Genomic DNA, 15,224 nt, shown 5'->3' on the forward strand with positions numbered 1-15,224 from the left:
CGGTATGGTTGTGCCTTTGAATATGAGCAAAGCTTCTCCTAGCTGCAGATATTTTCAGGAAGAGCAGAAACTGCACCACAGTGTTTTGGGTAGATAAGGCTTACCCTGGTGGGGAGAGAGGTCCTGGAAGGGGGTGAGCCCAAAATCTATATGCTTTCCTGGGAGGGGACCTGGTGTTTTAAATCCATTTTTAGAATTTTTTTTTTATTGCTGCAAGAACTGGAGAGAGATCAAATCCATTTTCATTTGTTTCCAATAGCCCTTTTTTGCTGCTGCTGCTGCTGCTGCTGCTGCTGCTGTTTGTTCTGTTCCTCCTCCTCCTCCTCTTTCTCGTCCTTTTTTTCCTTCTTCCTTCTCTTTTTCTTCTGGCTTTTGCAACTTAGAATGCACATGGTGGCTAGATACAGTTAAAAACCCAGTTCCATGCTCAGGCTCATCCTAGCACTGGTTCTAATATCTATTCCAGATTGTTGGAGAAGATAGGAGAAAGTGAAGAAGGGAAGAAGAGAAAAAAACAGAGAAGAAAGAAGGAAAAGAAGATAGAGGGACAAGTAGAAGAAGGAAAGGAAAGGAAAAGCAAGGAAAAAGGATAACCTGTCCTCTTTGACTAGTAGGCTCACCAACTCTTCTTTACCATGGAAGGGATTTCAGTAGGACCAAAGGCTTTTCCCATGAAATAGTATTTTATCTTGATAAGAACCTAGCACATTGGTTACCAACCTCCTTAAATTGATTCCCTCAAAAGGAAGAAAGTGTATCTGGAAATCCTCTGAAACTTCCAGAGTCCCCCAAGCCCAGTGCTATTTCTACCAGGGGAGAAAGCAGAGCTCTTTGTATATATGGGTAGGAGCAAAGTAAGATTCTCCTCCCCCTTTCCCCACAACCCGAAGCAGAAGTTTCTCCTGAGATTTCAACCAGTAAAATCACCATATAATAGATTAGGCATCCTGAGAAGTTCTTAATGGAACGAGAGCTCTCACTAATCAAAGCAGGAAAGAACAGGGCCTTGAAGAAATCAGAAATCTAATTAAGGTGGAATTTCAAGAGATCTGACTGAATGTTAAATAAGTTGTAGAAGCCTCATCAAAAGGATTAACTCAGCTGCAGAGACAACGCAGAAGTGCAGGTGGGGATTCTGCATGAAGACTGGAAAAAAAAACAGTGACAAGAACTGAAAGTGGTCATTGTGTTCATGGTGTGTCTAAAGGACAGATAAAAGAAAGAGGTGCCCCTGACCCCTCCTTTCATCCCATCTTAGTTGATGAGGTTTGGGGAAAAGAAGAGTTTGTTAAGCTCATTTAATCTGTTTTGTCTTGTCCATGTTTTCATCAAGCAACTTTCTGATTAATTTGGCTTTTAGAATATATTTTTCCAAGCAAGACAGAGATTGTTATTCAGCCAACATGAGCATTCCCAGCTGTTTTTGGGTTATATTAGCTCTGGAATTAAAACAAAACCAAACAAAAAAGCCTCTCTGTGTTATATCTGCTTTCTGTGAGTTTGACTTGCATGGGTCAGTTCATGGAGTATGATCAGGTCAACTCCAGGTGTCTTCTCAAAACTGAACTGCATGGGTTCTGTAAAACTAAACCGTGTGGTCCATAGTAAGAGGTCTCTGCTTGAGAAGTAAGCCATATCCTTGAAGGGCATTTCTATCTCACTCCTTTTGTTATGCAAAGAAGCTTAGTCCTTTATTTTGCACATGGGGACACTGAAGCCCAGAGAAGCCCAGAGAAGGGAAGAAACTTGTCTAATTTTCCATAGTGGATCAGTGGTAAAGCCAGGATCTAAGTGTAGGTCATAACCTGGTCCTACACAGGCTCTTGTCCTACAACATTCTATGTCTAGATTTTGTAGTCTCTTTCTTGGCCTCTGTGAGAGATGTGTGTGTGTGTGTGTGTGTGTGTGTGTGTGTGTAGGTTTTCATCCACAGTTCCTTTAGGCCTCAGAAGCAGGCCTCAGAAAACAGAATCTCTCTCTGTGAGAGATGTGTGTGTGTGTGTGTGTGTGTAGGTTTTCATCCACAGTTCCTTTAGGCCTCAGAAGCAGGCCTCAGAAAACAGAATCTCTCTCTCTCTGATATTGTCCTGCTCTCCTTTCACTTGTCCAAGGCAGCATTCTAATCTGATTGTGGATCCTAAGACCCTCATTCCAGAGAGGGTCCTGACTCATACCTAGGAGGAAAGAATGCTGTGTAGAGAGGCCAAGAAGAATCTGAATAGATAAACCTTGCTGGCTTCCCTGACCCAGTCTGTTAGTATGATATAATACCCTTTTTATCCAATCACATTTATACATGAGTGTCAATCATGCTTAGGTAATGAAGCCTCCATAAAAACCCAAAAGGACAGAGTTTGGAGAGCTTCTGGATAGCTGAAGATGTGAAGGTTCCTGCAGAGTGGTGTGCCCTGGGAGAGTATGGAAGCTCCACACCACTTCCTCCATACCCCACCATATGCATCTCTTTATCTGTACCCTTTGTAATATTCTCTATAGTAAAACTGTAAATGTGTTTCCCTGAGTTCTGTGAGCCACTCTAGCAAATTAATTGAACTCAAAAAGAGAGTTATGGGTACCCCAGCTTGATACTGCCCAGTCAGAAGTTCTGGAGGCCTGGACTTGGGACTGATGTCTTTGGTGAAGGGAAGTCTTGGGAAATAAGCCCTCAACTTGTGAGACCTGAGGCTATCTTTAGGTAGATGGTGTTGGAATTGAATTAGAGGACACTCAGCTGGTGTCTGCTGCTTTGTGTGTGGGGGAAACTATCCCACACATTTGGCTGCAGAAATCTTCCATGTTGATTGTTGTGTTGATGTGAAAGCAGAGGAAAAAAATGGTTTGGGGTTTTTCCCAAACAACCCTCAATTCAGGATCATGAGTTTTATGAACTCTCTGAAAAGCAATCTTTAAATCAATTGAACTTAACTTCACTAGTAATTCTCTAAAGGGCTGAGGTTTATTTTCAGCTTCGCTTTTTGATATTTACAACAGATTTCCTCCCTCCAGCCCACGCAGCTTTGTCGCCTCTCTGATTTTCATTTCCTCTTCTTCCTTACCTAAGGTGACAGGAATGCAACCCTGGTTGCAATTGTGTTTTTCTCTATTCAAATTTTGTCTCATTATGTCCATAGGAAGAAAACAGAGGTTTAGAAGACATTACTGGCTGGGCGGGGTGGCTAACACCTGTAATCCTAGCACTTTGGGAGGCCGAGGTGGGCAGATCATGAGGTCAGGAGTTCGAGACCAGCGTGGCCAACATGGTGAAATCCCGTCTGTACTAAAAATACAGAAATTAGCCGGCATGGTGGCACACATCTGTAATCCCAGCTACTGGGGAGGCTGAGGCAGGAGAATTGCTTGAACCCAGGAGACAGAGGTTGCAGTTAGCTGAGATTGCACCATGGCACTCCAGCCTGGGCAACAGAGCAAGACTCCACCTCAAAAAAAAAAAAAAAAAAAGAAGACATTACTCATCAACCCGATTGCTGTGCTGGCCTATGTTCACCTCCAAACACATCTTGATTTCAAATGGTTCACTAAAAGCCTACTGTGTTCTAGGTATGGAGCCTAAGAAATGACTCACCCCTGCCATCTGAAGAGATTTTAACTCGGGCAGAATTGGAGTTGTGGACTTAACATGTGTGGAAAGTATCCATAAGTCAAGATGGAGTCAGATTATATAGCACAAATATTAATATTTATTTCAGCAGGCATTTTAGTCAGATTTAACCAACATTTACAGAAAAGCTACTTCATGTTAGAACTTAACCTAGGATCTGGGAATCCAAAAATTATTAAGTTAAAGCCAGTGCCTGGTAGAGCACACTTTGTAACTATGTAAACAGGTATTCTAAATACAATGTAATCAGGCTGTAATTTAGGTGCATACAACGCACAGAAGAATTTGTCTAGGACAATTAAAAGAGGTTTCCCAGAGGAGATGACAATTGAGCTGGGTCTGAAGAAGAAACACAAGGTCTCCTGACAGAATAGATGTGAAGGGAATAGGAAGCTTTCCAGGTCCACAGAGAGGCATGTGTAAAGGCTGGAGGTATACTAGAATATAGGGCATGCAGTAGTCAGAATATAGGATGGGAAGAGAACAGTGAAGACATAGGCTGTGTACAGATTGTGAAAGATCCTGATCACTTAGCTGACAAATTTTGAACTTTAAGCTTAAAACAATGAAGAGCCACTCATCTTTTCTGAGCAGTGCAATAACACCACTAGAGTTGTGTTATTAAAAGATCATCCTGGCAATAAATATCAAACTTTAAGGATAAAAACATTCCTGGATGAAAATGAACATCATTTTCATCTTTTTTTTTCTATATTCTTCTTCATCATTAGGAACAAAATCATTCTCTTCCTCAAATACAAGCACTCTGGGAGCTGACCTCATCACCCTTTATTAATTTAGCTAACAATTGCTAACACTAAGGCCCCTTACTATGTGCCAAACACTGGTGATACAGAAATCAATTTAAACAGAGATACTTTTTCTTGAGGGAACTACAGGCTACTCATGAGAAAAAGGCATGGACAAAAAATATCACACTTTAAGGTCATAAGTGTTATAATCAGAATATTAGTAAAAATATATAATGATGATCAACGATGATTGATATTTCTAACTTGGATTTTCTCCATGGAGATAAGAAACACAGTATTATGACCAAGTTTGTTTGAGGTGTAGGGTCTAGGGCATGAGGACTTAGACATTCAGGGAGATATGTTCAATATTAGATTGAATCTACTGATCTGGAGGTAGGGAAGATAGAAAGAGAGTAAGGAAGTGTGCAGAGACACAACAAAAAGACAAAAGTACAGAGTATTTGGAAACACATTTAATAAAGAACAGGAAAGAAAGAGACGTCGTTAAGAGAACCAAAGAGAATGGTTAGGAAGATAGGTGAATCAGAGGAGTATAGGTAAATTCAACAATTCTCACTGAGCACTATTGGGATCAGGTGTTCTGCTAGGTATCAGGGACACAAATGGAGAAGACAGTCTCTGCAATTGGCTATGATCCTCTGGCATGAATTTGATCTTTACATCTCATCTGAACCATACTTCTGTGGTTCTGGTGATCAAATTCAGTCTGGAGAGGGAGGGTATTCTCTAAACCATTTGATGACAGGTTTTAGGAAAGAAGAAATGGCTGACAGTCACCTGTTGCAGAGACATTGAAGGGAGTGAGGGCTAGTAGAGAGGCTTTTGGTTTTGTTGATTAAGAGTTCATGGTAATTTTGTGACAACAGTTACCAAGGTTAGTGCAGAAATGAGAATAAAGACAAAAAGCTAAATTATGGTAGATTAGGAGGTTAAACAGTGAGGTAATCTATGGAACCTACTTTTTAGAGTGATCTGAAGAATGATGTGGTGGTCACTAGAAAGATTTTTTTTTTAAATTTGGTTAAGATGTGATTATATGTACAGGCTCAGAGATCAACAGATGAGGGACAAAACAGGACAGTGTCTGAGAACAGGCTATTTGGTTGATGATCTTTGTGAGAACAGAGCCAATGGAGTAGTAAGAAGCAAGTGAAGTGGAGTAGTAGATTCCAGTTCTAAAACCCCTTTGCTTAGCTTAGGGGTAAAATGAGAGGTTCCTGAGAGGTTTCAGGCTGCAGCTTGCAGCTCAGAGAAGAATGTTCAGAAGAAAAGTAGGATAAAGGAAGAGGAAGTTGACTTAAACCACAATAGGCCTGGTTCAGATTAGATGGGAGGTTCAACTTCCTGCCAGAGGAGCACCAGTTCATGTGAAGAGAAGTGAGAGAATTTCCTTATTTGTGATCCCCAAAACTTAGATATAATTCTCCTGCTTTGGAGTAAAAATTGATATGTTCCAGCCTGAAGACAGCGAAAGACATTAAAATGGACCTTCCAAGTGGCATGTGGTATGGAAGACAGTAGAAAAATAATTGGTTTGAACTCCAGCTTAGCTGATTAATAAATTACTTGAAGTAAGTCATTTGAGCACTCTGAGATTCAATTTCCTTATCAGTGAAAGATACGACAATTCTCACCTTGTAGAGTTGTTATGAAGATTACATAAGCGGATGTACATAAAGCATCTAGCTTGGGACAGAGTAGCCTTTCTTCAACTGTTGTCTCTCTTCCCCCACTTCCTCTGGTTCCCTAGCCCTATCAACACAGTGTACTGGAGTCTCCAGTCCTGCTGGAGATAATGAGATAATGAGAAGATGGGAAAGTTTGTGTATGCTGGGAATTTATGCCACAATGTCCAAGAACTGATCATCTCCTGGATAGTCAAGGTTGCTAGAGAGACCCATAGAGCTTCTTCCCCTTTTCTGTCGGCCTCCAGTGCCAAGATTTGCAGATAAGCCAGGCAGCTTCTAAGACATCTTTTATCACTAGTGGCTGAGGCAAATGAGCTTAATATATGGTTAGAGGTAGTTCCAGGCTCCAAAATATATCTTTCCTTGTCAGCGATAGATTATATCTACTTTGTACCAATAAGTGCACCAGCAGGTCGCCCTACAAATCCCAAGGGGACTCAGATTCAGGTTCAGGTCCAGTCTCAAAGAAACCTTCATTGAGGGCCACCCATGGAGGTCCAAAACAGGTCAAAAGAAATCCCTAGACAAATGAGAAAATTCATCCCTCACAGTTGTATTATCACTTTGCAGTTTAGAAAGCTTTTTTCACATGTTAGGTGAGTATATATATATATATATATATATATATGTATATATATATATATATATGTATATATATATATAATATAAATAATGTTTATAATATCACTATAAATTATAGTATATAGTGATATATATATTATATATTACATAGTATCACTATGTTATGTACAACAAATAATCATATTCATTATAATAATGAAAAATTAGGTAACTAGTAATATAAATATAGTATAATTAATATTAATATTATGTATGTACACATATATACAAGGCCTGAGAACTTTACTTAGTCTAGATCATTCTTTAGGTCTTAAATATTTTTTGAAGAAAGTCTTCCCTAAACTCTCATACCAGATTAGGTTTACTATTATTTGCTCTTATAATACTCTATATTTATCCTGTATAATACTTATATTTTCATCCTGACATACTTTGGCAAGTGCCTGTGTCCCTCATTTGAATATGAGTTCCAGGAAGGCAGGGCCTTGGTCAGTCTTGCTATCTTTGACACCCTTGTTACCTAGACCACTTGACCAATCTGTGAATGGGAGAGAGAAGAGGGCCCTTCAAAGACCATACAGTTCACCCTATTTAGAAATGGAGAGTGAGGGAGTGATATAGTTTGGATATGTGTCCCCACCCAAATCTCATGTTGAAATGTAATCCCCAATGTTGGAGGTGGGGCCTGGTGGGACATAATTGGATCATGGGGGTGGTTTCTCATGAATGGTTTAACTCCATCCCCCTTGGTACTGTTGTTGCAAAAGTGATTAAGTTCTCATGAGATCTGGTTGTTTAAAAGTGTGTAACACCTCCCTCCTTTCTCCTTGATCTCTCTTACCATGTGATGTGCCTGCACCCCTTTGTCTTCCACCATGGGAAGCTTCCTGAGGCCTCCCCAGAAGCAGATGCTGCTATGCTTCCTGTACAGCCTGCAGAACTATGTGCCAATTAAACTTTTTAAAAATATATAAATTGCCCAGTCTCAGGTATTTCTTTACAGCAATATGAGAATGAACTGATACAGGGAGACCAATACCCAGAGCAAAAAGAAAACTTCCCAAGGTCATGTTATAAGCCATGACACAGCTGGGCCTGGAACTCAGGTCTCCTGACACTCTGCCTAGAGCTATTTTCAATGAACCTTCAAACCTGATGGCTTCCAGGAACCAGGTCATCAGGAACCAGAGTCCAAGGAAGGTCAAAGCTTTCAGTATTCAGATATTACCTCATTTTCTGGTCTTGCAGAACAGGAAGATTTTTTTTTCATGAACAAATATTTGCTGAGAACCTACTATTATAAACAAGACAGCTCTAGCACTAGGGATATAGTTAAGAATAAAATAAAATAACTACCCTCATGGAGCTTACACTCTAGTAGGGGACATAAACAATAAACAAAACTATAACATGGTAGAAGCAAAGTCAAAAGGCAAATGACAAACTAGTGGAAATAATTACAATTCTCATTACATACAAAGGAAAAATTTCTCTAACATACAAAGTACACCCAAAATCAATTAAGAAAAAGAAATCAGCAGTCTAATTGAAAACTGGGTATGACAGACATGGTTCCTGCTCTCATGGAGTTTGCAATTGAGTGGAATAAACCCCTTTTTTCTTTAAGGCTACGGGAAACAGCTAGGCAGCAGGGTTTGAGGGGGCCAAAGGATATGGTGAGTCATTGAGTAGCCTCTCTTATGCCATCTTAGCAATAAACTTCTTAATTTTAGAATTTGGAATTCTAAATTCTGACAAAATTATAAATCTCAGCTTTGCCACTTACTAAATATGTGACGTTGAAGGAAGTTGCTTAATTTCTTCATGCTTCAATGCCTACATTTGCGAAATAGAAATGATTCCTATTTTATAAGGTTATTGAGAGTAATAAGTGATATAATAGAGAGTGAGAGTAGGTGGTACATAATAAGTACTCAACAAAAGTGTTTTTCTTCCAATTCCCACTTCCTATTTTATAAGGTTATTGAGAGTAATAAGTGATGTAATAGAGAGTGAGAGTAGGTGGTACATAATAAGTACTCAACAAAAGTGTTTTTCTTCCAATTCCCACTTCCTATTCTGCCTAGAACCGATAATAGAAGGCAGTGTCCCTTCTGATGCCAATATGAAGCTTTTCTGCTTCTTACCTTGCATTATCTGGCCTTTACAGGAGCTCTCAGGATTCCACTTTGTAACCCCATGAGGTATCAATTTTTTAGGGATTGACTGATTCCTGAATCAGTGCCAAATCTAGTTCTAGCAAATGTTTAGCTGTGGTGAAAGCTCAAGGGTCTGTTCTAAATTTTCTTTTTGTTTCCCAAAAGGCACAATTCTTGCCCTTCCTTTACTCAGAAGACAAACTAAGAAGATGAAAATAGTCTGTGTGTGCCAAGTCAATGATATCACGGGCAACTACCCCAGTCTGAATTAGGAAATATCTCTATACTGATATATAGATACATACAGATATATAGATATATTCATTTAATTTTTTATTGTAAATTTATAATTGTATTTGTGGGATACAAAGTGATGTTATGATTTATGAATACAATGTGGAGTAATTAAATTTAATATATCCATTGTCTCAAATACTTATAATTTGTTGAATAATTTGAAATGTACTCTCTTAGCAATTCTGAAACATGCAATATACTATTATTAACTGTATTCACCATGCTGTGCAATAGATCTCAAAAAAACCCTATTCCTTCTGTCTGAAACTTTGTACCCTTTGAAAATTATCTCCCCATTCCACCCACCCCCAAGCCTCTGTAACCGTCATTCTACTCTCCGCTTCTATAACTTTCATTATCTTAGAATCCACCTGTAAGTGAGATTATGTGGCATTTGTCTTCCTGTGCCTGGCTTATTTCACTTCACGTAATCTCCAATTCCATTTATGTTGTTGAAAATGACAGAATTTCCTCTTATTTATTTATTTTTTGAGACAAGGTTTTCCTCTGTTGCCTAGGCTGGAGTGCAGTGGCTATTCACAGGTGACCATAGTGCACTACAGCCTTGAACTCCTGGGCTCAAGTGATCCTCCTGCTTCAGCCTCCCCAGTAGCTGGGACTACAGGTGTGATGTGAATAGTGGGAGTGAGAGACAGACTAGAGTGAGAATATATATTTTAAATAAATACATGTTTGTTCCTTCCAAATATACTATTTACAATAGGCTATTGAAAGTTGATTCCTCATTCATTTCTTCATTGTCCATTTAAAATTTTTCCCAAGGGAGTGTATATTTAGGGCAACTCGAATCTATGCTCCTGAGTTGCAGCTCTCAAGCTTGGCCCAGATAAACTCTTTACTCATTTTAAGAAAAAAACAAACAAACAAAACAAAAACAGCTACTGCTTAGTAAAAACCTTTAGGTGGGCCATTATAGGAAATAGATTAAAATGGTTGATTAGGGTCACTTCAGTTATTTCTGCCATAGATGGAAGGTTCTGAAGGACTCTAAGTGGGAGTGAGGTATGGGTAGTAAGTAGAACCAGTTTGGTTTTCTGTCTTTAAACAACTCCCTGGAACTCCTATTTTATTTACTTCATTTATTTTGTCTTTCTAAGAAGCTAAACAAAAGCTTCAGCTCAGACTTATCTAACAATCATAAATTGGAAATTAATGAGGTTTTCTTGGAAAAAACTGCCCTTAAAGACTGAGATGATAACTGACTTGAATTTGACATTTTCCAGCCAGAGACATATTGTATATTTTTTTGTAGATTGCTCCAAAATTTCTACCTTTCATAAATTGTTGCATGATATTTATATCCTACATCTGCCATTTAATAGGTAATTATAGTATCTCCCTCATAAGGTTGTTGTTAGGATTACATAAACTAACATATGTAAAGGGCTTCAAACAGTGCCTGGCACTTAGTAAGCTCACAATACTTGTTAATTATTGTTATTCCAGTACAAAATGGATCTCCTGATAGGTCGAACCTCTTTGCCAGGTTTCCTCCAGAGCACATTTGGTGTGTTGGATAGGCCTTTGGGCTACTATTATTCTACGATATCTATAGATACTTAAAAATGCTCTCAGGCTTATATTTGCCATTTTGTATCGGTAGTCTCCCTATTCACACAAGCTCACCATATTCTTTCCTATCTCTGCACCTTTACTTGGGTTCTTTCCTCTGCCTGAAATGCCTTTCTCTGATTATTGATCCTGTTATCCTTCAAGGCTCTTTTAAAATTCGGCCTCTTCTGTGAAGTCTCTAATCCAACCAGTTGAAATTAACTTTTTTTTCCTGTTTGTTGCCATAGTCTGGACCCCTAAAATCCTAGGCTTGAATATAGAAGGGCACTGCATCACATATATACACTTTCTGGCTTCTCATGTCTCAAACGCCCAACATAGCATACAAGTCCTTTCTTAGTTTGGCCCCCGGCTTAACTCTTCTATTTGCTTTGTGCTATTTTTTCCTTTGCTCACTCTTTTTCAAGCCATACCAGCCTTTTATCTTCTTGGAATATGCCACATTATTCTCCATCTCAGAACCTTTATACATGTTGCTTCTTCTGCTTGGAATTGCCTTGCACCCATTATCCACTTGGCTCACTACTTTTCATTTTTCCGTCTCACTTTAAAAGTTACTTCCTTAGAGAAGTTTTCTTGACCTATCCAAGTCTGGTGGATTATGTTATCCTGTTACGTGTTCTCCCTGCTCTCTGATCTTCCCCCTTTCTTGACATATTTAAAAAATTTGTTTAATGGCTATTTTCCACCACACGGTATATGTCAAGAAGGCAAGCGTTTTATATGTCTTTTTCACTTCTGCATCTTGAGTACCTTGCACCATGCCTGACACTTAGAACACATTCAACTTGTATTTGTTTTGTGAATAAATTTAATCAGACTTATTGTAGAGATGGAAATTTGGAGGCCCAGAAAGGGAGAGGGATTTGCTCAAGGTCACACAGAGAATTAGTGGCAGAGAAAAGACTGTAGCCCAGATCTCCTGACCCTCAGTACAGTTCTCTTTTCCATACATGCACCTCCACTATTGTACTCATTTTTTGAACATGCTTATGTAGCACTCTGTTTTCTGGACTAGATTGTGAATTCCTAGAGGGTAGGGACCATGTCTTATACCTGTTCTGGTCAATACAGTAGCCACTAGCCACAGATGGCAATTTAACACTAGAAATATGGCAAGTTCAAATTGAGATGTACTGTTTGCATAAAATACATACTACATTTTGAATAATGTAAAATATCTTATTAACAAATACTTACATTGTTTACAGGTTGAAATAACATTGTGGATGTATTGAGCTAAACAAAATATATTATTAAAATTAGTTTCACTTAAAAATTTTTCATGTGGTTATTATAATAATTGTGGCTCGCATTACATTTGTATTAGATTGTTGTATATTTCTGTTCTGTTGTATGTTTATTTTTTCCCCTTTTGCCAAGCATAGAGCTTTGTAGCCAGTAGGTGCTCAACACACCCTTGCTGAATATACTTAAGCTGTAGTTATTGGGTTAATTGCTGCCATTTATCTTGTCAGTGTCACTGTTTTGTGGCAGCCTCACAGTGAAACCTCTGTCCCTAGGCCCAGGTGTACAAAAAGTTCTTTAGTCCTGGCCTGCGGGTGCCCTACACATTGCATCAGCCTTTGTATTTCCTTTCAGAGGAAACCCCAATGCAATCCTATGCATAGCAATCACTAGGGTTGAGGTAGAGTGTGTGGACACAAGCCACTTGCACAGGAAGTGGCCTTAGCTTTGCAATTTTCCCTGGGGCCTCTTCTTGAAAGTCTTCTGAAAGGAGGTGGGGGTGAGTGAACAGGAAGATAAACTCAAAGTGAAGGGTGGGGGCTTCTCAGCTCCTTCATGGAGGTTGGGTAAGCTAAGCAATGTGGGGACATTGGGCTATGAGGTCTCTTTCTTTTGCTTATGCATTGACTCATTCACTTATTCACCTCACAGTTCTGGGATAACTAGTTTATTCCTAGGCCTAAGAAGACAGTAAAGATCAAACATAGTTCCTACTTTGGGCAGTGCTTGGTCTTCTGGGAGAGACTGACACCTAAGTGCTGTGTGGATGTTTTTCAAGAGTAGAGGAGGGCAAGGTGGGAAGCAACTAATTTTGCAGGTGGTTGTCAGAGAAGGCTTTCCAGAGACAGTGAGCATCATTTTTTTCCTCTCTATCCCTTAAGATGTAGCCAAAATCTTATTCTTCTGAGAACCTTTCCAGTTACCATCACCTTCTCATCTTCTGCCCTGGGAGAATCTTATATACGTATCTGACGGCACTTCATGACTTTGTCAAATTACTTATCATATTCTGTAGGGTGACATAGCTCTTGGGGTGCACACCTGTCTTCCATTTCCCTTTAGCCTGAGAATCCTTCAATCTGATGTGAGGACTAAGGCTCAGACAGGCTGTGTGTGATTGTTCAAGGTCACATAATCAATAAGTTACAGAGCTTGGTCTATAACCCAGGGTCTAAGATGCAGGGACTCTGATTCAGTGTTCTTTCCATTCCAGTACTGCGGAAACAAATGAGTGTGTCTGCAGTGTGGGACCCCAGCACTGCCTGCTTGCTCCGCTTGTCAACTATTTTCCCTTCTTTCTCATCTCCCTTCACAAGCACAGGCAAGGCAGAAATCATACAAAATGGGAAAACTTTGTGACTTTTGGTTGCTCTCTGCAGAAGCCTGGACAACAGATCAAAAAGAAGAAGCCCCTTTGTGCTGTTATTGGAAACTTGGCCCTTCCCAGCATACTTTGTGTTTGTGGGCTAAAGAGGAACTCTGAGCACAGTTCCCTTTTCTCGCATTCAGGCCATATGCATAGGTAGTATGATTTTCAGAGCCTTCTGTTTCCTAATGCTCTCTTTTATTGCCCTGTCTTTGGACTCAAAATAGATACCATTAATTACTACTTTAGGTAAACACATTGTCTCCAGAAACCCCTGTTAAAAGGCCAGTAGAGTACCCTAATTGATAGGGAAGAAAAAAACGTGTGTAGCTAAACTTAATCTCTATGGTATGCGTAGGAAGAAGGGGGTCCCATTTTAGCAAAGTGCCCGCAGGACTACCCTACTTCCGCTCCAAGCTTTAGTCAGAAACCAAAAGAAACAAGAACTGAATCTTTCTAGAAGCTAGATCTGGGGTCTTGAGGCCTGAGCCAATAAATTATTCTGGTAGAAGGAAGTTTTCTACAGAGTGATGTTAGTGCAAGTGAATCCCTATTTCAGGCTTTCACAGAGCCTCAGGTCCTGCAACCATGGGGAAGCCCACAGTGAGTAACGAAGAGCCACAAAGGAACCAGGGAATGTTTGAGTTGGAGTGGTCTCCAAGACCATTTAGTCCAACCTCTGTTGATTAAAGGAGAAACTAATGCCCAGGGAGGTAGTAGAGTGGGGACTAGGGCCCAGGGCTCTTGGCTCGCAGAATGTGGTCTTTCTTTTGAGCCTGAGTATATAAGAATGTACATAGCTTGAAAAGATTATTTACCACGGCTTGACTATCACTCAGGGCCATACTTCCACTAGTGTAGACAGAGGACTGTGACTTGGGCACTGCAGTCATTGAAAGCTATCAAAGTATAACCTGAAAGCATTGCCCCTCCCATCCTTCATGCCATCAGAATTCATGGTGGAGGGCACTGCATGATGGGAATTCATCATCTTCCTGGCTGTTAGTGGGGACTTCCAGGAGACTGCAAACATGAGGCATTAAGAAACCATCCACCTTCTTTTCACACCTTTCATGTCCCTCATTAGCCTGAAGGTCACAGTTGAACTTAGGGGTCTGGCACTAATTTTTCTTTCTCAAAGTCAACTACTTTCTTCTCCCTTCCTTGTAGCCAATGTGGGAAAGTAGACGAAAACCTCAACATTTGGAGTTAGACCTGAGTGAAAAATCTGCCTTCTCTATTATTTTCTAGTTTTGTTTCCTTAGACAGGTCACTTTATTTCTGTGTGCCTCAGTTTCCTCACCTATAAATAAGAATAATAATACCATACCAGAGAGTTGTTGAATAAATTAGATAATACACATGAAAGAATATCATAAGTACTCCAATAAATGTGAATTTCCTTATTTATTTCCTTCAGCAAGCCCCAAGATGACAGAATGTGGCTTGTGGTCATAACTGTGCCCCAGAGCCAGCTTCATAGGCATATGACTTGTACAGCTTCACAGGGCTCCATGCTTAGAAGGACCCCACACTTAGTTTAATGTTCTGCTGTCATCATCTTGATATTCTTAATTTTTAAATAAAGGGCCTATCGTTTTCATTTTTTACTGGGCCTTGCAAATTATGTAGCTGGTTCTGTATGCCAGGAGAGAAGTTGGAAGTAAAATGGTATTCCAGGACCAGGAGGCATTCTGGCAGAGTGAAAGAACATGTGATTTGGAGTCCATGGGGATGGGTTTAAATTTCAGCTTTCCACTAATTTGCTTTGTGATACTGAGTATTTCCTTTTATCCCTCAGAGGCTCTGTTTCTCAATTTTGACTACGGGTTTTTTCATTAGATAATGTCTCAGTTCTGGTATTCCAGGTTTCCCTCAATTATTCTGGGAAAACCT

General features: G+C 39.7%; 2 annotated features.

Moving 5' to 3' along the window:
- Positions 6,112 to 6,406: a silencer, noted in NCBI's record as "tiled region #12317; HepG2 Repressive non-DNase unmatched - State 24:Quies". NCBI's record gives its function as "represses a minimal TATA promoter and a strong SV40 promoter by Sharpr-MPRA in HepG2 cells {active_cell/tissue: HepG2}" and the evidence as "EXISTENCE:reporter gene assay evidence [ECO:0000049][PMID:27701403]".
- Positions 13,295 to 13,364: an enhancer, noted in NCBI's record as "active region_29720". NCBI's record gives its function as "activates an Ori minimal core promoter by ATAC-STARR-seq in GM12878 lymphoblastoid cells {active_cell/tissue: GM12878}" and the evidence as "EXISTENCE:reporter gene assay evidence [ECO:0000049][PMID:35858748]".

This window comes from Homo sapiens, chromosome X (assembly GCF_000001405.40).
Source record: "Homo sapiens chromosome X, GRCh38.p14 Primary Assembly".
Lineage (NCBI taxonomy): Eukaryota > Metazoa > Chordata > Mammalia > Primates > Hominidae > Homo > Homo sapiens.